This window comes from Homo sapiens, chromosome X (assembly GCF_000001405.40).
Source record: "Homo sapiens chromosome X, GRCh38.p14 Primary Assembly".
Lineage (NCBI taxonomy): Eukaryota > Metazoa > Chordata > Mammalia > Primates > Hominidae > Homo > Homo sapiens.
In genome coordinates this window covers 147,980,953-148,005,526 of record NC_000023.11, presented here as the reverse complement: position 1 = coordinate 148,005,526, position 24,574 = coordinate 147,980,953, and the positions used below count along the sequence as shown (strand labels likewise).

Sequence of the window (24,574 nt, the reverse complement as noted above, 5' to 3'; positions counted from 1 at the left end):
TGTTCTATATTCTAAGTAATCTGTTCTTCAATTCTGCTAGGCCCAGAGCGGCTCTTCTCCCCTAGGTTGGATTGCATCAAGTGTTCAGTTCTGGGTGTCAAACACCCAGAAAATGGTGACAATAGTCAGGACTACTCAGAGATGGGATGGATTTCCTTGCATGCTGAGTTTCTCACCATGGGTACTGTTCAAACACCACTTCCCAGAAATGCTAAAGAGAGGGTTAGGGTTAGGGTTAAATCGTAGAAGAGACTAGACTATATGATCTCTAAGATCATCTGTTAATTTCTGCTTTAAGTGCATCTGATGGACTTTATGCTAGATATTAAAATTAACACAGGCCAGGCACGATGGCTAGTGCCTGTAATCCCAGCACTTTGGGAGCCCAAGGCGGGCGGATCACGAGGTCAAGAGATCGAGACCGTCCTGGCCAACATGGTGAAAACCTGTCTCTACTAAAAATACAAAAATTAGCTGGGCGTGGTGGCATGTGCCTGTAGTCCCAGCTACTCAGGAGGCTGAGGTAGGAGAATTGCTTGAACCTGGGAAGCAGAGGTTGCAGTGAGCCGAGATTGTGCCACTGCACTCCAGCCTGGCAACAGAGCGAGACTCTGTCTCAAAAAAACAAAAACAAATTAACTTTCAAGCTCAAATTACTAAGAGGCATTGGTAATTTTAAAGAATCAAAAAGGTAGAACAATTTTTTTTTGTCAGGTTTAAGTATGTAATTTTGTCCAAAGGGAGAAAGATCAGGTGATCTCTCAAGCTTCCCTGCCAGTGTGTATCAAGGTTGTCATTTTAATCTGCAAGAGATAAATATTTTACAAATAGTAGCCTAATGGCAAAACAACGAACTTTTTTTTCATGCTTAAGTGGTAAGAGTGTTTATTTTCAATTATGTGGGGGAAGAAATAAATTGGTTAAAAATATTTCACGTTTTATGAAGCTGTAGTTATTGTCTTCAAAGACAGTATGTACATTTGATAAATATTTAATCACTTTTTGAATCAACCTAGGTCAGATGTTTCTATTAAAATGGAACAATTTTATTTTGTTGGACAAAATTTTTACTTCATATAATTGATTTTGACTTACTTTCCTGCACCAGGTTGGAGAAATATTTGGGAAATGCAGATATCTTTTTCGAACCATTTTTACAGGTGGCTTCAGTGTCTGTACAATGTAGTTATTACAGGTAAGTATGTGACTGTTTACATCTGTTGTTTTCATAAGCTTTAAAGCTTAAATCATCATTAGTTGTTGTTTACGACTAACTGTGGCACTCAAACCATTCTTTCAGCCTATACGACATAACACCGTCTCAGATTTCTTTTTTATTTACTCAATTTGACCATGGCAGTATTTTGAGTTTATTTAAGGAACTTGTTTATTTTGCTATTCTCATTGGTAGATGCCTGTTTTAAACTTAATGTAACAAGTATAAAGAAACATAAAGAGATTTTTTCAAGTTCACTAAAGAATTCAGTGGAAAGGCCTGGAATCAAAGAACAGATATAATTTTGTGCTTATAGAGTATATCAAATTTTGTTAGAATAAATTCTGCATGATTTTTCATAAGAGCTTTATCTTTGTACTTCACATATTCCAATTTATATGAAGCTTCTCCTTGAAAGGGCACCACATGCTATACAAAATGAAACGTGTTTATTTGTGGTTAATAATTCTCAGGGGTCATAATGTGCTTGATAAACACATTATATACAGAATCACAAAAAGACAGTGAGACTTGAAACCTGGGATTTCTATCATTAAAACAGATGGGAAAACATCTGGCATATTCCATAACATCAGTCACACAGTACCCTCACTAATGCCACAGAAGACATCAATTTCACAATACTGGGTCAGTGACTGAATTTCAGGCAATGCCATTCAGGCAAATTGTGAAAGATTAGATATTTGCGAAGGAAAAGTATTTTATAAACAGTAACAAACATTTATGAAATGCCTTATGAATATTATCTCAGTTCATCCTCATAATTCTTTGTGGTAAATATCTTCATTTCAAAGATGAGGGCACTGAGGTTCAGAGAGATTGTCTTGCCTAAGCCAAAGAGCAGAGCCAGGATTCAAACTCAGCTCTGTCCCACTCCAGTGCCATTACACCACACTGCTTCCTAAACATTTAATTACTGTTTTCAAAACAAGAACATTAGAGGGGGAAAAAAATCAAACAAGAACTTACTTGTTGGAAAGAAAAAATTCAGCAAAGCTTCCAATGCGGAATCTTCTTCCAGAGATTGGCCATGAGCATTTTCACTGTTGGGCAGGATATGTCCATTTGCAAGCACAAAATATGAGGACCCTTAAGAAGAAGTAAAATTATTAATCCCAACATATAAAGCATTTATCACTTTCAATGACCCTTGAATGGTAATTACCTTTGCTTAAATTAATTATAGAATGTCAAATAGCTAACAGATATACTTTCATCTCATAACAGCTTAAGCATCATTAATAATCAGAATGCAATTTTGTTGTGAAACTGAAAAAGTGTTAAATTTACAAATGCTTAAGCTATAGGCTGACACATGCCATTGTTGTAAGCTGATTTACAATAGTAAACTTGCCTCTGACAAATGGCATTAAGAGGCCTAATCAACTGATGAGCTGAAAACAGTATGTATTCCAACTAAATCAGATCCCATCACAGAAAGTCTTGGAAAATATGTTGGCTTACATATATATTGACAAAAATCAAGGCCTTACATACAGTAAAACCTTCCTTATCCTTCTTTCTCACTATTTTAAAGAACTGGTTTTTAGTCTTATTTACACAATTCCCTCCTACATGAGAGAAGAGGATAACACAGATTTGTCCATAGCATTAAATATTTCCCAAAACTATCTTTAATAATGTCACAGAATTCCATTATATGGCTCTATTATAACTCAGTTAGCAATTTCTCCATAGGAAAACATTTAGGCTGTTTACAATTTATTGATGTTATAAAGAACACTGCAATGATTATCATTACATTATCGTTAGCTTGCAATGATTATCACTGAAGCTTTATATTTATATATTTGCAAATATTCATGAAAAATTACTTAAGATAAATTCTTAAGGCATGGTGGCTCTTGAGTATGTCCAAATTACCCTCCAGCAGGGCAACCCTAAAATACACTTCTACCAGTAGTACAGGCAAGTGCCAGTTTTCTGACACCTCTCCATTTTTTATTATTTGCCAATTTGATGGCCAAAATAAAACAAAATATCTTTTGTTTTAATTTGCAACTTTCATAATCAGTGAGCTTACATATTTCATATTGTGTTGCATAGTAGAGAACTTAACTCTTAATCTGCCACATATTTAAAATATTTTTTTCAAGGTAATTGGTTATCCTTACTTTTTTATGGTGTTTGGGAAGCTCAGAAGCTTAAAATGTTATATGTAATTAAATCTATCAATCTCTTCCTTTATTATTTTTACCTCTATAAAGGCATTCTATACTCTAATACTCCCAACATTTTCATGGTTGTACTTTTTAAATTTAAATATTTAATACACCTGGAGTATATTTTGGAGTGTGTTGTGGAGTAGGGATACGATTTTTCCAGCAGTCATAAGGCCCTTTATTAAATCCATCCTTTTCTGTTATACTTAAGATAACATCATCACATTCTAAATCCTTACTATATCCTTATAGTCATAGATCTGCTTCTTGACTTTCTATTCTGTTCCACCAACCTATCTATTCATGTGCCAATACTAATGTTATTGTTTATTTTATCTTTTCTTTTATTTTTTTTTTGAGACAGAGTATCGCTCTGTTGCCCAGGCTGGAGTGCAATGGCGCAATCTCAGCTCACTGCAACCTCCGCCTTCCTGGTTCAAGTGATTCTTGTGCCTTGGCCTCCCGAGTAGCTGAGATTACAGGCATGCACCATCACGCTCAACTAATTTTTGTATTTTTAGTAGAGACGGGGTTTCACCATGTTTCCCAGGCTGGTATCGTGATCCACCTGTCTAGGCCTCCGTAAGCCACTGCACCCGGCCTATCTTATGTCATTATGTTTTAATAACTGATCTGGTAATCCTTTCATTGTCTCTACTATCAAATTTTATTTTCAGCTCTGAGAATTTTTTAGATGAACCTTAAAATCGTTTTGTCAAGTCAAAAAAAATTCTAAATTTTATGGTAATTATGTTCACTTATTTATCATTCATTCAAAAATCATTTATTGTGTGTCCCACGTGCTAGGCATGAATTCAATTAAATGTAGACTCATTTGGAGAGAATTGATAATGTTACAAAATTTTTTCACCTAAGTAGTTTTGTTTCTCTGTTCATTCAAGTCTCTTTTTATGTCCCTGAATAAGGTTTATCATTGTATTCAGATAGGCCCTGCACTTTTCTTAGTACATTTATTCCCAGGCATCATATATATTTTGTTGTTTTGTGAACATAATCCATTTCACCACATTTTCTAGTGGATTGATGGTATGTAAGAGAGCTATTGATTTTTATACATATATTTTCTTCCTCCCTTAGTTAACTCTCGTTAGTTCTCATTGTTCTTCAGTTTCATTCCAGATAGACAATAATATTATCACTAAATATAGATGACTTTGTCTCCTTTCTTTACAATATTAACACCTGAATTATTTTTCTTCTTTCACTGTATTGCCTAGAAATGTTTAAACTATGTTGATTAATAACCATAATAATGGGCGTTCTTGAGTCATTCCTGACTTTAATGGGAATGTGCTAATATTTCATAATGAAGTATAATGTTGGCTGCTGGTGTAAGATAGATACCCTTTATTAAATTAAGGATGTATTTCTCTAGTTTTAGTTTTCTACAAATTTTCTGTTGTTATTTTGTTTCATTTTGAATCAGGGATAGAACTGGGATTCTATCAAATCCTTTTAATATTTACTGCCATGATGATATTTCCCCCTGCCTATTAATTATTGAATGTTATTAATATATTTGCCAATATTAAAATATTCTTGCATTCTTGAACAAAGTCCACAAGTGCTAATGTTTTATATAGGATTCATGATTCAACATTCCTAAGTGAAGTGTGTCTGCAGTTTTCTTTTGTGTGCTACATCTGTAAATTTTGGCATAAGAGTTATACCTGTTTCATTCATAAAATAACCTAGGAAGCTTCCTGTTGCTTTTCTAGACTAAAACAGATGAAACAATATAGGAATGATTTGATCCATTAAAGGTTTGGGAAAACTCATCCAGAAAAAGTCTGAGTCTTCATTTTTTGGAGAGGGGTAGTTCTTTATCTTTTGCTTCTTCATGGTCACAGTTAATTTTGTTATTTTTATTTTGCTAGGAAATCATCTATTTACAAAGCAATTATTAGCATGGAATCATAAGACTATTCACTTGTAATATTTAAATCTCCTTTATATCAATGATAATATCTTCTTTCTCATTTTAATGAGAGCAACTTCCATACACATACATTTGAATGTGTACTCTCACAATGAACTCTATTATAAATGTTAAATCAAGCTAAATTATATTATGCAAATGCTCTGTATCTTTATTTTTCTGTCAAGGACTAAAAGATAAATATTAAAGTATCTCACCATGATTGTGGTTTTGACGATTTCTACTTAAATTTCTAAAACTATTTGTTTCATATATTCCAATAGTGCATATTCAATCATGACAATTTTATCTTCACTATATATTACACCTTGACAATATTAAACATAATCCATTTTGTCCTGCTTGTTTTCTACTAATGCTTACTCATTATTGAACACCCACTATATTCTGTGTTTTGAGGATATATCAGTGAACAAGTCAGACAAGATCCCTGCCCTCATGGAGCTTACTACAATGCAGTGGAGAAGACAGACCACTAACAAATTAAGTAATTACAAATTGTAATGAGTGCTATGAAGAAAAGTGGATACTGATACAGAATAAAGGAGGGGGGCTACTTTAAATGGGAGCCAGTCTCTCTGAGGAGATGATATTTAAGTGGAAAAAAAAAAAAGACTAGAAGTAGCTGGCTGAACAAAGGGCCTGGGAGAGTGCTTCCAGCACAAGGACAAGAAATGAGATTAATGTTGCTAGGCACATTTTGCCAGATCAGAGAACCCTCTGTCCTACATGACATGAGAAGGGAGCTACAGATGGAAGGGACCTTGACAAGACTTTAGTTCCATATTGCTGTTTGTTTGCTCAGTGTTCCCCTTCGTCAATTTGCTGTCCTTGTTGCCACTCGATTCAGCACACCATCTGAAGTAAGTGTTGGCTGACAGTAGCACACTGAGGCCCAAGTCTCCATCCTAAGTTATATTCAGCAAGTTATGTGCTCTCTGGAATTCCTCTAGAATATTGATCCCCCAACTTAGAGTCCCCAACTCAGAGTGCCCTAGCCTCCAGACCCTGCTGGACAGGCTTGCCCTTGGCTTGACATGAAACACAAGTTGCTGTGATTTCTCTCCATCATGTTTTTATCTTTCAGAGAACCCTCCAAGTTTCTGGCATATAGATGCCAGATGGAAACTTTCTAGGTTCTCCAGGTTTTCACCCTTTATAGATCTTTCGGTCATTACAATGGGCATTGAAATGAAAGCGACAATTAAACATCTTAACTAAGATGAGCAACATCAGTGGCAGTCTCAACCATAAGTCTAGAATATATTTTACCCTGCCCTCCACCTTTGGTTTCTTCCGTACTCTGAAAGAAAATTATTTTTAAATTAATTTGAGCAGTATGTCTCAAAGTGTAGTCTATCACTAGTAGTACATAAGAATTTTAGGTGGAACATAGATGAATATTTATGGATATATTAATGTTTGCTATGAGTTTATTTGAAAGTGTAAAAGAAAAAAATGAGTAACATATCAAACCTACCATGACACCAAACACGGCTGACATCACTTGCCATAGGGCAAATCTTTATAAACTTTGTCTTTTTTGATACTTTGAGTTCTGGGATACATGTGCAGAATGTGCAGGTTTGTTACATAGGTATACATGGGCCATGGTGGTTTGCTGCACCCATCAACCCGTCATCTACATTAGGTATTTCTCCTAATGCTCTCCCTCCTCTAGCCCCCCACCCCCTGACAGGCCCTGGTGTGTGATGTTCCTCTCCCTGTGTCCATATGTTCTCATTGTTCAACTCCCACTTATGTGTGAGAACATGCGGTGTTTAGTTTTCTGTCCCTGTGTTAGTTTGCTGAGAATGATGGTTTCAAGCCTCATCCATGTCCCTGCAAAGGACATGAACTCATTCTTTTTTATGGCTGCATAGTATTCCATGATGTATATGTGCCATATTTTCTTTATCCAGTCTATCATTGATGGGCATTTGGGTTGGTTCCAAGTCTTTGCTATTGTAAATAGTGCTGCAATAAACATACGTGTGCATGTGTCTTTATACTAGAATGATTTATAATCCTTTGGGTATATACCCAGTAATGGGATTGCTAGGTCAAATGGTATTTCTGGTTCTAGATACTTGAGGAATTGCCACACTGTCTTCCACAATGGTTGAACTAATTTATACTCCCATCAACAGTGTAAAAGCGTTCCTGTTTCTCCACATCCTCTCCATCATCTGTTGTTTCCACACATTTTAATGATTGCCATTCTAACAGGCGAGAGATGGTATCTCATTGTGGTTTTTATTTGCATTTCTCTAATGACCAGTGATGATGAGTTTTTTTTCATATGTTTTTTGGCCTCATAAATGTCTTCTTTTGAGAAGTGTCTGTTCATATCCTTTGCCCACTTTTTGATGGTTTTTTTTTCTCTTGTAAATTTGTTTAAGCTCCTTGTAGATTCTGGATATTAGCCTTTTGTCAGATGGATAGATTGCAAAAATTTTCTCCCATTCTATAGGTTGCCAGTTCACTCCGATGATAGTTTCTTTTACTGAGTAGAAGCTCTTTAGTTTAATTAGATCCCATTTGTCAATTTTGGCTTTTGTTGCCATTGCTTTTGGTGTTTTAGTCATGAAGTCTTTGCCCATGCCATTGTCCTGAATGGAACTGTCTAGGTTTTCTTCTAGGGTTTTTATGGTTTTAGGTCTTACACATAAGTGTTTAATCCATCTTGAGTTAGTTTTTGTATAAGGTATAAGGAAGGGGTCCAATTTCTGTTTCCTGCATATGGCTAGCCAGTTTTTCCAATACCCTTTATTAAATAGGAAATCCTTTCCCCATTGCTTGTATTTGACAGGTTTGTCAAAGATCAGATGGTTGTAGATGTGTGGCATTATTTCTGAGGCCTCTGTTCTTCTCCATTGGTCTGTATGTCTGTTTTGGTACCAGTACCATGCTGTTTTGGTTACTATAGCCTTGTAGTATAGTTTGAAGTCAGGTAGTGTGATGCCTCCAGCTTTGTTCTTTTTGCTTAGGCTTTATAAACTTTTGTCCCTGCTCTTTCTTCCCTGGGACAATTGCCTCCTTTTCCTCTTTAACTCTCTCCAAAGTCTCCCACCAGCTAGCACACAAGCCTTTTTCTCAGGTCTTCCTCTCTACCCAAACAGCCTCCAGCCTTTTTCCCCTCCTCCATTATTTTTCATATGAAGAATAATGTCATCCTCTTTGCCTCTAATTTGCATCTTTACACTCATTAGCATGTTCAGCAAATAAAAGATTAGGAGTCAGCCTTTTAAATTGGTAGCAGAAAATATTAAAGAACGAATTATGTTTCCTTGTCACAAAGAATTTTTTATTTTTTAATTTCCCTGTTACAAATAAAAGACTAAAAATCTAACTACATTTCAACGGAAAAGAAACACCAGACTCAGTGCAGACAGAGAGCTTCATCTATATGTGACTTGTGCAGTCAAACAGGGCCCCACACTTGGGGAGCTCCATGCTTGGTTTAATGTTTTGCTATCGCCATTTTGAAAACCATGAATTTTAAATGAGAGATCTTGTATTTTCATTTTACAAATTATGTTGCCCCCGCCCCCCCCATCCCCGCTGTGGTGTGAGGTCTAATAGATGAGAAACTGAATGACAGGGTGAGGAGACAGAAAGAGCAGTGGCTAACTGTATCAGTTTCTAAAGGATTTTACTGAGGCTTCAAGTTGAGGGTCTACCTATGCCACTATCTTTCTGGGTGTTGGCCTCAAACAGACCTGAGTTTGTATCCTGACTCTGCCACATACTAGGTGGTGAACTTGAGCATGTCAGTAAACTTCTCGTTGCCTCAGTTTACTCATCTGCAAAATGGTGATATTTATTTTGAAGTGTTATGAGGATTAAATGAAGTCACATGTGAAGGGCTTAATACAATGCAAAACAGTTTGTTACATGTCTTTCATCGTTTATTTTTATTGCTTACAATTTTAAATTTAATATCATTACTTGTTTTCAGGATATTTATTTTTATTAATAACTTTCTTAATAGCAAATATGGTCAACTTTCCATTTATAACTATGGTACAGTTCCCTTTTTAAATAAATATATTAATGTAAAAAAGTAAGGTAGCTTAAAGGAAAATATGAATGACTGGTATCATTAAGATAACCAAGCATTTTGACTGAACAGGAAAAATGCCCACCTAGTGAAATTTCTTCATTTTTTCGATAAGATAACTGAAGCCTAAAGAGGTAAAATGACTCATCAATGGTCACACAGCAAGTTAGTGTGAACAATCAGGGCAACCTAGATCTCTTGATTCCTAGCTTAGGGCTCCTCCAACTACACCACACGTACACAGGGTTAAAGCAAAAGCTAGCCTCGTGCTCAATTAGGTACACGGCAGGCAGCCAGACTTTCTATGTGTAATGCCTCATTCACTCCCCAAGGATATCAGATAAATAAAGTATTCTAATATAATGATACAGAAACTAGTTACTGAGATCTGTCCATGCAGCTAAGGCAATTTGAAAATATTACCTACTAGTCCATCTTTATTTCTCATTTTTTAAATTTCCCTGAAAAGGATGAGCAATTAGGACTGACTGAATAGGTTACAGATTATTGGTGGAATCAAACTCCCAGTCCACAGTTTGCTTCTCTCCTTATCCTGTATGCCACTGGTCTGTACGTCTTCTGCATAAATATAACTTGAAAGGCAATGTGGCTTGGGAATGCAAATGACAATACAAACTGGAGGTATATCCCAGAGTTACCTCAGGTCACTCAACTTCAATTCCTGTCAGTACCATTAAATCTAAGAGAACTCACTAGGGTCCGTCTAGAAATGAGAAAGGGAATTTTAATGTCAGAACCATATGTTTTGCTTTTGCCATAATTCTACAGGACCATGGACAATTATTTTACCTTCTGATGTATATTAGTTTCCTAGGGCTGTTGTAACAACATACCATAAACTGGGTGGCTTAAAACAGAAATTTATTGTCTCACACCTCTGGAGGCTAGAAGTCCAAAACCAAGGTGTTAGTAGGGCTGGTTCCTTCTGAGGATTGTGAGGAAACGCCTCTCCTTGGCTTGCAGGTTGAAATAGTCTTTCCTGTATGGGTGTCTGTCTCTGCATCCAAGTTTCCCCTTTTTATAAGGACACCATTCATAGTGGATTAAAATACACTTCAGATGACCTCATTTTAACTTGATTATCTCTATGAAGACCTTATCTCCAAACAAGATCACAAATAAGGTATTGGGGTTATAATTGCAACTGTTTTTGGTGAGGGAACACAATTCAACCCATAACAAGTGCATTTTGTTATGTTAATTAAGTGAAATAATTTTAAATGCAAATTAAATTTAATTCATACAGTCACATATTACCTCCTGAGAATCTGGGAAATCTAACAATGTAAAGAATGAATCATAGATTATTTTAGGAGAAAACATGTTAGACCTATAATGGAAAAAGTACTCCTGGAAATAAAGAAATCACACTGAATTAGACAGTATTCTTTTTTGTGTGGGAGTTCTACTCAAAATAGAAATAGAAAATGAAGAACTCGCTGACTAAGAAAAAATACACAATTTATAGTTTTGTTTTTCAGCTTACTTTTTTAGAGGATAAGAAGACTTTTAGTATTGTACTATTACAAATACAGTAATTCAGAAATACTTTGGTGTTTTAGATAAATAGTAGAAATAAACCTGAATAATTTGTAGTAATATTATGATTTGTAAATGATCATTAAAAATATCTTAACATTTTTTCAAAGAACAGAAATCATATTTTCTAACTTATTTCAAATAATTGATAAAACAGCATATACTTTATTTAATTATGAATTTCATTCCTCACAAAAACCTAGAAACCCATGTAGTTGTGACATAGTGTATAGAAGTCTCTATTCTTTTTAGTTGTGATGCCACTGCCCAATCTTTGCCTCCCTCTTTGACTGTGGGTGGACCTTGGTTGAGAAGACGGAAAACCTCTAGGGAGAGCAGGGAGAAAGAAGCCCTTGGGATTAGAGGTGGGGATGCTGAAGTCTTTGGGCTTGGGTCTGGAGCTCAAAGGCAGGAGACTGTGGGAAATCTAAGGCCTTTGTGCAGATGAGAACATAAAATACGTTTGTGAGGGGGTTGGGAGAAAAGGCACGCCATTATGGGTAATATTGAGAAAGCTGTTTTGAGAAAACCATCTGAGACTTAGGAAGGTTATGGAAGGAAAGAAGGTTGTAGGAAAAGGAAAAGCAGTTCAGGTTGGGAGAATCTGGAGGAGGAGGGAAAGACTTTGAGTGAAGCAAGTGAGGCAGAAAGACCATTAAGTGGAAGGAAGAAAAGAAGGCTTTTGGGGAAGAAGTGGAAAGTACCTTTGGGTGGTGAAGGAAGGAAAACCTGAGTGGGGAGAAGAACTTTTGGAGAGCTGAAAGTAGGCTTCTGAGAGGGAGTGAGTGAAGGCCTGGAGGAGGGTAAATAAAGAGGTAAGAGAAGGAATTTGAGGGAGAGGGGAAGGCCTTAGTGAAGGTAGCTTAGAGAGGGAGAGGATGATATAAGGTAAAAGAAGGGAAGTAAGGGACTGAAGACTTTAAGAGAGGAGAAAAGGGCTCTGTGAGATAAGGAATGAAAAGCTTTTGAGAAAAGGCCTGTGAAGTGAGCAAAGGAAAGTCATTGTGGGGAGGTGAGAAATGAAAGGACCTTGATTGAAGGACAAGAAAAACTTTTGGAATGGTGATGAAGGAGGGAAGGCATTTGTGAGGGTAAAAGAAGGAAGGCCCCTCTCCCTCTCCCTCTCCCCACGGTCTCCCTCTCATGCGGAACCGAAGCTGGACTGTACTGCTGCCATCTCGGCTCACTGCAACCTCCCTGCCTGATTCTCCTGCCTCAGTCTGCCGAATGCCTGCGATTGCAGGCACGCGCCGCCACGCCTGACTGGTTTTGGTGGAGACGGGGTTTCGCTGTGTTGGCCGGGCCGGTCTCCAGCCCCTGGCCGCGAGTGATCCGCCAACCTCGGCCTCCCGAGGTGCCGGAATTGCAGACGGAGTCTCGTTCACTCAGTGCTCAATGGTGCCCAGGCTGGAGTGCAGTGGCGTGATCTCGGCTCACTACAACCTACACCTCCCAGCCGCCTGCCTTGGCCTCCCAAAGTGCCGAGATTGCAGCCTCTGCCCGGCCGCCACCCCGTCTGGGAAGTGAGGAGTGTCTCTGCCTGGCCGCCCATTGTCTGGGATGTGAGGAGCCCCTCTGCCTGGCTGCCCAGCCTGGAAAGTGAGGAGCATCTCCGCCCGGCCGCCATCCCATCTAGGAAGTGAGGAGCGCCTCTTCCCAGCCGCCATCACATCTAGGAAGTGAGGAGCGTCTCTGCCCGGCCACCCATCATCTGAGATGTGGGGAGCGCCTCTGCCCCGCCACCCCATCTGGGATGTGAGGAGCGCCTCTGCCCGGCCGAGACCCTGTCTGGGAGGTGAGGAGCGTCTCTGCCCGGCCGCCCCGTCTGAGAAGTGAGGAGACCCTCTGCCTGGCAACCACCCCGTCTGAGAAGTGAGGAGCCCCTCCGCCCGGCAGCTGCCCCGTCTGAGAAGTGAGGAGCCTCTCCGCCCGGCAGCCACCCCATCTGGGAAGTGAGGAGCGTCTCCGCCCGGCAGCCACCCCGTCCGGGAGGGAGGTGGGGGGGGTCAGCCCCCCGCCCGGCCAGCTGCCCCGTCCGGGAGGGAGGTGGGGGGGTCAGCACTCCGCCCGGCCAGCCGCCCCGTCTGGGAGGTGAGGGGTGCCTCTGCCCGGCGGCCCCTACTGGGAAGTGAGGAGCCCCTCTGCCCAGCCAGCCGCCCCGTCCGGGAGGGAGGTGGGGGGTCAGCCCCCTGCCCGGCCAGCCGCCCCCTCTGGGAGGGAGGTGGGGGGGGTCAGCCCCCCTGCCCGGCCAGCCGCCCCGTCCGGGAGGTGAGGGGCGCCTCTGCCCAGCCACCCCTACTGGGAAGTGAGGAGCCCCTCTGCCCGGCCACCACCCCGTCTGGGAGGTGTGCCCAACAGCTCATTGAGAACGGGACGGGATGACAATGGCAGCTTTGTGGAGTAGAAAGGCGGGAAAGGTGGGGAAGGGATTGAGAAGTCAGATAGTTGCCGTGTCTGTGTGGAAGGAAGTAGACATGGGAGACTTTTCATTTTGTTCTGCACTGGGAGAAATTCCTCTGCCTTGGGATCCTGTTGATCTGTGACCTTGCCCCCAACCCTGTGCTCTCTGAAACATGTGCTGTGTCCACTCAGGGTTAAATGGATTAAGGGCGGTGCAAGATGTGCTTTGTTAAACAGATGCTTGAAGGCAGCATGCTCGTTAAGAGTCATCACCAATCCCTAATCTCAAGTAATCAGGGACACAAACACTGCTGAAGGCCGCAGGGTCCTCTGCCTAGGAAAACCAGAGACCTTTGTTCACTTGTTTATCTGCTGACCTTCCCTCCACTATTGTCCCATGACCCTGCCAAATCCCCCTCTGTGAGAAACACCCAAGAATTATCAATAAAAAAATAAATTAAAAAAAAAAAAAAAAAGAAGGAAGGCCTTTGTGATGATAAGTGAAGGAAGGAAGTTTTTTGGGAAAGGAGGTGAGAAAGTTAGGGTTTTGTGAGGGGACTTGAGGGAAGGAGGCCTTTGAGCAGGGAAGGAAGTCAATTGTGAAGGTAAAGAAAGCAGGAAAGGTAACCATGAAAGAAGATTAGGTCTTTGTGAGGGGAGGTGAAAGAGGTTAGAATTTTGTTAGGGGAGAGCATGGAAAGAAGATTTTGGTAGAGGAGAAGATGGAGGGTATACCTTTGTGAGGAGAGATAAGGGAGGTTGGAACTATATAAGCAAAGGTGAGGCAGGGAATGTACTGGTGAGATAAGAAAGGACTATGAAGAGGAGATGAAGGAGGTTATTATTTCATGAGGGAGGTGAAAGAAGAAAGGCCCTTGTGAGAGGAGATGAGGGAGAAAGGTCTTTGTGAAGGAAGACAAGGAATTTTAGTGAAGAGTTGAGGAATTAAAGGCCTCCACGACTGAGGTGAGAAAAGTAAGCACTTTTTCAGAAGTGTGGTAGGAAGCCTTTAGAGAGAGATAAAAGAAAGCATTTGTGAGTGAACATGCGGGAGGGTAGGACTCTGTGATGGAAGGTGAGTAAAGAAAGGCTTTCATGAGGGGAAATGAGCAAGGAAAGACTTTTGTGAAGGGAGGAGATTGAGGAAATGTGTGGTGAAGTAAGGGAGGTTAGCAAGTGAGGTTAGGGGTGGAAAAGCTTTAAGAGAGGAGATGATGGAGGTTAGTGGTTTCAGCGGTGTGGTGAAGAAGGTTAGTCCCATGTGATGGAGGTACTGAAAAGAAGGTCTTGGGAGAGATGAGGGAGGAAAGTCACCTATGAGAGAAAGTCATTTCTGAAAGAAGGGAAAGGAAATGTAGTACTTTGTGAAGGGAGGTTAAGGAGGGAAGACCTTTCAAAGAATACCTATAACAAATAAAGAGATTGAAACACTAAACAAAACCTCCCTTGTAACAGAGAAATTATAGTTAATAATAATTTGTTTTATATTTCAAAGTAGCTAGAAGAGAAGAATTGGAATGTTCCCAACACAAAGATAAATTTTTGAGGTAATGGATATCTCAATTACCTGGATTTGATCACTACACATTGTATATACATATTAAAATATCACATATACCCCAAAAATACATACAACTATGATATATCAATATAAAAATACAAAAACAGGGGCATCTGCTGGCAAGATGGCCGAAAAGGAACAGCTCTGGTCTGCAGCTCCCAGCAAGACCAATGCAGAAGTTGGGTGATTTCTGCATTTCCAACTGAGGTACCCTGTTCATCTCATTGGGACTGGTTAGGCAGTGGGTGAAGCCCACGGAGGGTGAGTAGAAGCAGGGTGGGGTGTCGCCTTACCTGGGAAGTGCAAGGAGCAGAGGCATCCCTTTCCCAGCCAAGCGAAGCTGTGACAGACTGTGCTATCTGGCCCAGATACTATGCTTTTTCTATGGTTTTTGCAGTCCACAGACCAGGAGATTCCCTCATGTGCCTACACCACCAGGGCCCTGGGTTTCAAGCACAAAACTGGCAGCTGTTCAGACAGACACGGAGCTAGCTGCAGGAGCTTTTGTTTTTTTTTTTTTTTTCTTAGCCCAGTGGCACCTGGAACCCCAGTGAGACAGAACTGTTCACTCCCCTGGAAAGGGGGCTGAAGCCAGGGAGCCAAGCCAGTGGGTCCAACTCCCACAGAGCCCAGGAAGCTAAGAATGACTGGCTTGAATTTCTCCCTGCCAGCACAGCAGTCTGAAGTCGACCTGGGACAATTGAGCTTGGTGTGGGGAGGGACATCCACCATTACTGAGGCTTGAGTAGGCGGCTTTCCCCTGACTGTGCTAAGGACTGGGTGGAACTCAACACAGTGTGGCAAAACAGCTGTGTCCAGACAGCCTCTCTAGATTCCTCTTCACTGGGCAGGGCATCTCTGAAAGAAAGGCAGCAACCCCAGTCAAGGGCTTAAAGATATAACTCCCGTCTCACTGGGACAGAGCACCCGAGGAAAGGGGCGGCTGTCGGCGCAGCTTCAGCAGACTTAAACGTTCCTGCCTGCCACTTCTGAAGAGAGCAGTGGACCCTGACAAGGAGGGTTCTACAAGCACAGCACTCGAGCTCTGCTAAGGGACAGACTGCATCCTCAAGTGGGTCCCTGACCCCTGTGCCTCCTGACTGGGAGAGACCTCCCAACAGGGGGTGACAGGAGCCTCATACAGGAGAGCTCTGGCTGGCATCAGGCTGGTGCCCCTCTGAGATGAAGCTTCCAGAGAAAGGAGCAGAAAGCAATCTTTGCTGTTCTGCAGCCTCCACTGGTGATAACCAGGAAAACAGGGTCTGGGGTGAACCTCCAGCAAACTAGAGCAGACCTGCCACAGAGGGGCCTGACTGTTAGAAGAAAACCTAACAAATGGAAAGCAGTAACATCAACATCAGCAAAAAGAACCCCCACACAGAAATCCCATCCAAAGTTCTTCAGCCTCAAAGATCAAAGGTAGATAAATCCACAAAAATGAGGAAAAAACAGTGCAAAAATGCTGAAAATTCCAAAAACCAGAATGCCTCTTCGCCTCCAAATGATCACAACTCCTCTCCGGCAAGGGCAGAAAACTGGATAGAGAATGGGTTTGACAAAGTAGGCTTCAGAAGGTGGGTAATAACAAACTCCTCTGAGCTAAAGGAGCATGTTCTAATCTAATGCAAGGAAGCTAAGAATCTTGACAAAAGGTTACAGGAACTGCTAACTAGAATAACCAGTTTAGAGAAGAACATAAATGAACTGATGGAGCTGAAAAACACAGCACGAGAACTTCGTGAAGCATACACAAGTATCAATAGCCAAATCAATCAAGAAGAAGAAAGGATATTAGGGATTGAAGATCAACTTAATGAAATAAGGCGTGAAGACAAGATTAGAGAAAAAAGATTGAAAAGGAATGAAAAAAGCCTCCAAGAAATATGGGACTATGTGAAAAGACAAAACCTACGTTTGATTGAGGTCCCTGAAAGTGACGGGGAGAATGGAACAAAGTTGGAAAACACACTTCAGGATGTTATCCAGGAGAACTTCCCCTAACCTAGCAAGACAGGCCAACATTCAAATTCAGGAAATAGAACACCACAAAGATACTCCTCGAGAAGAGCAACCCCAAGGCACATAATCATCAGACTCACCAAGGTTGAAATGAAGGAAAAAATGTTAAGAGCAGCAAGACAGAAAGGTCAGGTTACCTACAAAGGGAAGCCCATCAGACTAACAGCAGATCTCTCTGCAGAAACCCTACAAGCCAGAATAGAGTGGGGCCAATATTTAATATTCTTAAAGAAAAGAATTTTCAACCCAGAATTTCATATCCAGCCAAACTAAGCTTCATAAGCGAAGGAGAAATAAAATCCTTACAGACAAGCAAATCCTAAGGGATTCTGTCACCACCAGGCCTGCCTTACAAGAGTACCTGAAGGAAGCACTAAATATGGAAAGGAAAAACCAGTACCAGCCACTGCAAAAACACGCCAAAATACAAAGACCAATGACACTATGAAGAAACTGCATCAACTAATGTGCAAAACAGCTAGCATCATGATGACAGGATCAAATTCACACATAACAATATTAACCTTAAATGTAAATCGGCTAAATGCCCCAATTACAATACAGAGACTGGCAAATTGGATAGAGCCAAGACCCATTGGTGTCCTGTATTCAGGAGACCCATCTCACATGCAAAGACATACACAGTCTCAAAATAAAGGGATGGAGAAATTTCACCAAGCAAATAGAAAGAAAAAAAAAACCAATCCTAGTCTCTGATAAAACAAATTTAAATCAAAAAAGACAAAGAAGGGCATTACATAATGGTAAAGGGAATCAATGCAAAAAGAAGAGCTAATTATCCTAAATACATATGCACCCAATACAGGAGCACTCAGATTCATAAAACAAATTCCTACAGACCTACAAAAAGACAGACTCCCACACAATAATAGTGGGAGACTTTAACAACCCACTGTCAATATTAGACAGATCAACGAGATAGAAAATTAACAAGGATATTCAGGACTTGAACTCAGCTCTGGACCAAGCAGACCTAACAGACACCTATAGAAGACTCTACCCCAAATCAACAGAATATACATTCTTCTCAGCATCACAAAATAATAAGAGCTATTTATGACAAACCCATAGCCAACATCATACTGAATGGGCAAAAGCTGGAAGCATTCCCTTTGAAAACCGGCACAAGACAAGGATGCCCTCTCTCACCACTCCTATTCAACATAGTATTGGAAGTTCTGGCCAAAGCAATCATGCCAGAGAAAGAAATAAAGTGTATTCAAATAGGAAGAGAGGAAGTCAAATTGTCTCTGTTTGCAGATGACATGATTTTATATATTTAGAAAACCCCATCGTCTCAGCCCCAAAACTCCTTAAGCTGATAAACAACTTCAGCAAAGTCTCAGGATACAAAATCAATGTGCAAAAATAACAAGCATTCCTATACACCAAGAATAGAAAAGCACAGAGCCAAATCATGAGTGAACTCCCATTCACAATTGCTACAAAGAAAATAAAATACATAGGAACACAACTTACAAGGGACATGAAGGACCTCTTCAAGGAGAACGACAAACCATTGCTCAAGGAAATAAGAGACGACACAAACAAATGGAAAAAAAATTCCATGTTCATTGATAAGAAGAATCAGTATCGTGAAAATGGCCATACTGCCCAAAGTAATTTATAGACTCGTTGCTATTCCCATCAAGATACCATTGGCTTTCTTCACAGAACTAGAAAATACTACTTTAAATTTCATATGGAACCAAAAAAGAGCCCGTGTAACCAAGACAATCCTAAGCAAAAAGAACAAAGCTGGAGGCATCACACTACCTGACTTCAAACTATACTACAAGACTACAGTAACCAAAACAGCATAGTACTGGTACCAAAACAGATATATAGAAAAATGGAACAGAACAGAGGCCTCAGAATTAACACCCCACCTCTACAACCATCTGATCATTGACAAACCTGACAAAAACAAGCAATGGGGAAAGGATTCCCTATTTAATAAATGGTGTTGGGAAAACTGGCTAGCCATATGCAGGAAGCAGAAACTGGACCCCTTCCTTACACCTTATGCAAAAGTAAACTCAAGATGGATTAAAGACTTAAACATAAGACCTAAAACCATAAAAACCCTAGAAGAAAATCTAGGCAATACCATTCAGGACAGAGGCATGGGCAAAGGCTTCATGACTAAAACACCAAAAGCAATGGCAACAAAAGCCAAAATTGACAAATGGGATCTAATTAAACTAAAGAGCTTCTGCTCAGCAAAAGAAACTATCATCAGAGTGAACAGGCAACCTATAGAATGGGAGAAAATTTTTGCAATCTATCCATCTGACAAAGGTCTAATAACCAGAATCTACAAGGAGCTTAAACAAATTTACAAGAAATAAATAAACAACCCCATTAAAAAGTGGGTGTAGGATAGGAACAGACACTTCTGTAAAGAAGCCATTTATGAGGCCCCCAAACATATGAAAAGAAGCTCATCATCACTGGTCATTAGAGAAATGCAAATAAAAACCACAATGAGATACCATCTCAAGCCAGTTAGAATGGCAATCATTAAAATGTATGGAAACAACAGATGCTGGTGAGGATGTGAAGAAATAGAAACACTTTTACACTGTTGGTGGGAGTGTTAATTAGTTCAACCATTGTGGAAGACAGTGTGGCAATTCCTCAAGGATCTAGAACCAGAAATACCATTTGACCCAGCAATCCCATTACTGGGTATATACCCAAAGGATTATAAGTCATTCTACTATAAAGACACATGCACATGTATGTTTATTGCAGCACTATTTACAATAACAAAGACTTGGAACCAACCCAAATGCCCATCAATGATAGACTGGATAAATAAAATGTGGCACATACACACCATGGAATACTATGCAGCCATAAAAAAGAATGAGTTCATGTCCTTTGCAGGGACATGGATGAAGTTGGGAACCATCATCCTCAGCAAACTAACACAGGGACAGAAAACTAAACACCGCATGTTCTCACACATAAGTGGGAGTTGAACAATGAGAAGACATGGACACAGGGAGGGGAGCATCACACACCAGGGCCTGTCGAGGGGTTGGGGGAAAGGGGAGGGAGAGCATTCAGACAAATACCACTTAAAACCTAGTTGACAGGTTGATAGGTGCAGCAAACCACCATGGCACATGTATACCTGTGTAACAAACCTGCACGTTCTGCACATGTATCCCATAACTTTTTTTAAAGTAAAAATAAAATCAAAAATAAAATGTTTCAACAAAAAAAATCTAGGAACGGATGGCTTCACTGGTAATTTCTACCAAATATTTAAAGAAGAATTAACATCAATCGTTCTCAAAATCTTCCAGCAACAATACTTCTTAACTCATTCTAGGAGTTCAGTAGTAACATGATCCCAAGGGCAGGCAAAGACACCACAAGAAAACTGCAGACCAATATCGCTTATGAATATAGATAGAAAATTCTCCTACAAAATACCAGCAAACCAAATGCAACAGCGTATTATAAGGATTATACACAATGACTATAAAGTGGGGTTCATCCCACTAATCTAAAGACAGTTGAACATAAGAAAATCAGTCAACATAATACACAAAGGGAAACAATTTCATATCTCAATTGATGCAAAAAAAGCATCTGACAAAATCTAAAACCCTGTCGTAATAAAATCACTCAGCAAACTAGGAACAGAATGAATCTTACTTAACATGATGAAGAGCTGATGAACAGCTAACATTATAATCAATGTTGAAAAACCAAAAGCTTCCTCTAAAACATGGATGCCTGCTTTCATCACTGCTATTCAATATTGTACTGGAAGTTCTAGCAAGAGCAATTAAGCAATAAGGATAAATAAATGGCATGAAAATCGGAAAGTAAAAAGTAAAACTCTCTCTATTTACAGATAACATGATTCTATGTCTAGAATATCCAAAAAGCCCACAAAATCTTACTAGAGCTAATAAATTAATTTCACAATTTTACAGGGTACGAGACCAACAGGTAAAAATGAGCTGTGCTTCTATACACCAGCAAAGAACAATATGAAAAGAAAAAGGAAACCATTCCATTTGCAATAGCATACAAAAGAATAAAATATCTAAAAATAAATTTAACCAAGGAAGTTAAAGACCTGTAAACTGAAAACTACAAAACATTACTGAAATAAATTAAAGAAGACATTAATAAATGGAAAGACATGGGGTGGTCACAGATTGGAATCCCTAATATTGTTAAGATGGCAGCACTTCCAAAGTGATCTACAGATTCAATGCCAACTCTATCAACATTCCAATGGGCTTGGGGCAGAAACGGAAAAGCTGACTCTCAAATTTATATAGAGTCGTTAGTGGCCATGAATACGCAAAACAGTATGGATAAAGAAGAACGAAAATGATGGACTCACACATTCCAATTTCTAAACTTGCTATAAAGCTGCAGTAATCAAAAGAATGTGGTACCAGCATAGAGATAGACACGTAGACCAGAATAAAATTCAGAGTCCAGAACTAAACCTATAAATCTATAATCAACTGATTTTTCAGAAGGCTGCCAAGAGGAAAAAATCGTCTCTTCAACAAGTGGTGCTGGAACGAGGGGCTATCCACACGCCAAAGAATGAAGTTGGACCCTTAACATACACCATATGCCAAAATCAACTCCAAATGGATCAACAATCTGAATATGAGAGTTAAAACCGTAAAACTCTTAGAAGCAAACATGGGAGTAATCGTCATGACCTTGGATCTGGCAACGGATTCTTAGATATGACTCCAAAACACAAGCAACCAAAGACAAAATAGATAAATTGAACTTTCTCAAAATTAAAAACATTTTTACATCAAAGGACATTATCAAGAAAGTGAAAAGACTACCCACAGAATGGGAGGAAACATTTGCAAATCAGGTATCTGATAAGGATCCAGTATCCAGAATATATAAAGAATTCTTAAAGCTCAACAGCAAAACCACAAACGATCCAATTAAAAATGGTCAAATAATTGAAAAGACATTTCTCCAAAGATGTACGAATGGCCAACAAGCATATAAAACATGCTCAACGTCATTAGGCATTAGGAAAATATAAATCAAAACCATAAAGAGATACTATTTCACTCCTACTATAATGGCTATAATGTATAACAAGGGGGACAGATAACATATATTGGTGAAATTGAAACCTTCAAACATTGTTAGTGGAGATGTAAAACGGTTCAACCACTTTGTAAAACAGTGTGGGACTTCCTCAAAAAGATCAATGGAGTTCCCATATGACCCAGCAATTCTACTCCTAGAGAATTCAAAACATGTCTACACAACAACTTGTACACAAATGCTCATAGCAGTATTGTTCATAATAGGCCCAAAGTGGAAACAACCCAAATTCGGTAAATTTCAAAAACTAGATAAAAATATAGTATATCCCTACAATGGAATACTAGTTAGCCATAAAAAGGAATTAAGTACCCTTATGGACTGGGGAATTGGGAGTAACTGGTTCATGGGTATGGGTTTTAATTTGGGGTGGTTAAAATATTTTGGAACTACATGGGGTGATGGTTGCACAACATTTACAGGAACGAAATCCCTTTAATTGTTCACTATAAAATAGTTAATTTATGTTATATGAATTTCACTTCAATTTTTTTTTCATTTTTTTGAGATGGAGCCTCGCTCTGTCGCCCAAGCTGGAGTGTAGTGGCGCGATCTTGGCTCACTGCAAGCTCCGCCTTCCGGGTCCATGCCGTTCTCCGGCCTCAGCCTCCCAAGTAGCTGGGAATACAGGCGCCTGCCACCACACCTGGCTAATTTTTTTGTATTTTTAGTACAGACGGGGTTTCACCGTGTTAACCAGGATGGTCTCGATCTCCTGACCTCGTGATCCACCCGCCTCCGCCTCCCAAAGTGCTGGGATTACAGGCATGACCCACCGCGCCCGGCCTTTTTTTTTTTTTTTTTTTTTTTGAGACGGAGTCTCGCTCTGTCGCCCAGGCTGGAGTGCAGTGGTGCGATCTCAGCTCACTGCAACCTCCGCCTCCCGGGTTCAAGCAATTCTCCTGCCTCAGCCTCCCAAGTAGCTGGGACTACAGGTGAATGCCACCACGCCCAGCTAATTTTTTTGTATTTTAGTAGAGACGGGGTTTCACCTTGTTGCCCAGGCTAGTCTTGAACTCCTAAGCTCAGGCAATCCGCCCGCCTCGGCCTCCCAAAGTATTGGGATTACAGGCGTGAGCACTGCGCCCAGTCCTTTTTTTTTTTTCTTTTTAGACGGAGTCTCGCTCTCTCACCAGGCTGGAGTGCAGTGGCACCATGCCAGCTCACTGCAACCTCCACCTCCCGAATTCAAGCGATTCTCCTGCCTCAGCCTCCCGATTAACTGGGATTACAGGCGTGCACCACCATGCCCGGCTAATTTTTGTATTTTTAGTAGGGATGAGGGTTTCACCATGTTGGCCAGGCTGGTTTGGACTCCTGACCTCAAGTGATCCACCTGCTTCAGCCTCCTAAAGTGCTGGGATTACAGATGTGAGCCACCGTGCCTTGTCCTCAATTTTTAAAAAGGGGCGACAAGGGAGGTTAGTCTATTTTGTGGCGGGAAGTGAGGAAGGGAAGGCTTTTGTTAGGGGAAGTTGGGGAGGGAAAGTCTTTTATAAGTGAGTTTAGGCAGGAAAGACTTCCTGCGGCCAGGCGAGAGAGGGCAGGACTTTGTAAGGACTGCTGAGGATAGGGCCATAAAGGCCTTTGGGAGGAGAGAGGACAGGAAGGGGCAGGAAGGCCTATGGTTGGTGCCGGTGTGTTGCCACACCCCGCCCCCCTCTCCCTCCCCCTCCCCCTCCCCCAGCATTTCCCTGCCTGGCCTGAGCCAGCACTCACCGGAGCACAGGTAGTAGGACAGGTAGTAGCACACGAACAGCAGGATCCAAATGGAGAGCATGAGCATCCCAAAGGGTTTGCTGACCCGCATCTTTAGAGATTCCCGCCATCCTGGCTGAGGCCTGTCAGCCATGGCGGCCTCGTATCCAGGATGGCTGCTCTCGGGATTCGACTCAGTTGCCGCCAACTCATAAGTTGCCAGCTCTAAGTGAGCCACACGCATGGCACGGTGACTTCTCCTATTCCTCCCCTTCGCTTTCCTCCTATGTGAAGACATGGCTCCGGGTGCCGCCTCGCTGAGACGCTGCCTCACAGCCCAACGGTCCGGCAGTCCGTGGCCCAGAAGCTTCCGGGGCAGTCCGTGGCCCAGAAGCTTCCGGGGCAGTCCGTGGCCCAGAAGCTTCCGGGGCAGTCCGTGGCCCAGAAGCTTCCGGGGCAGTCCGTGACTCAGAAGCCAATAGGGCAGTGGCCCTCGCGTGGCATGTGCCAACTCTCGCGAGACCTGAAACTGATTCCTTCACGATGACGTCTTCTGCTTCATTCCACAGGCCCAGACCCTTATAACCACGTGGCCAGTGGTTGGTGCACCCCCACACTCCCACTCAAAGCCTGGCATATAGGTGCTTGCTAAATGCTTGTGGAACAAGTGAACGGGGCTTCAGGCCTGCACCAGTGGCATGACTGCTTGCCATAGATCAACAAAAAGGAATAACTCGGATTCTGACTC

At 40.9% G+C, this 24,574-nt stretch overlaps 1 protein-coding gene across 1 annotated transcript in view; it reads right to left on the bottom strand.

Annotated features, from left to right (window-relative positions):
• Positions 1-24,190, bottom strand: part of FMR1NB (FMR1 neighbor) — a 45,329-nt gene extending 21,139 nt beyond the window's left edge. Inside the window, exons 1-2 of the mRNA NM_152578.3 lie at positions 23,848-24,190; positions 2,207-2,326 (exon numbers count right to left, since the gene is read on the bottom strand). Coding sequence (NP_689791.1) covers positions 2,207-2,326; positions 23,848-24,124 — 397 coding nt within the window. The 5' untranslated portion in view covers positions 24,125-24,190. The remainder of the gene's footprint in view (positions 1-2,206; positions 2,327-23,847) is intronic.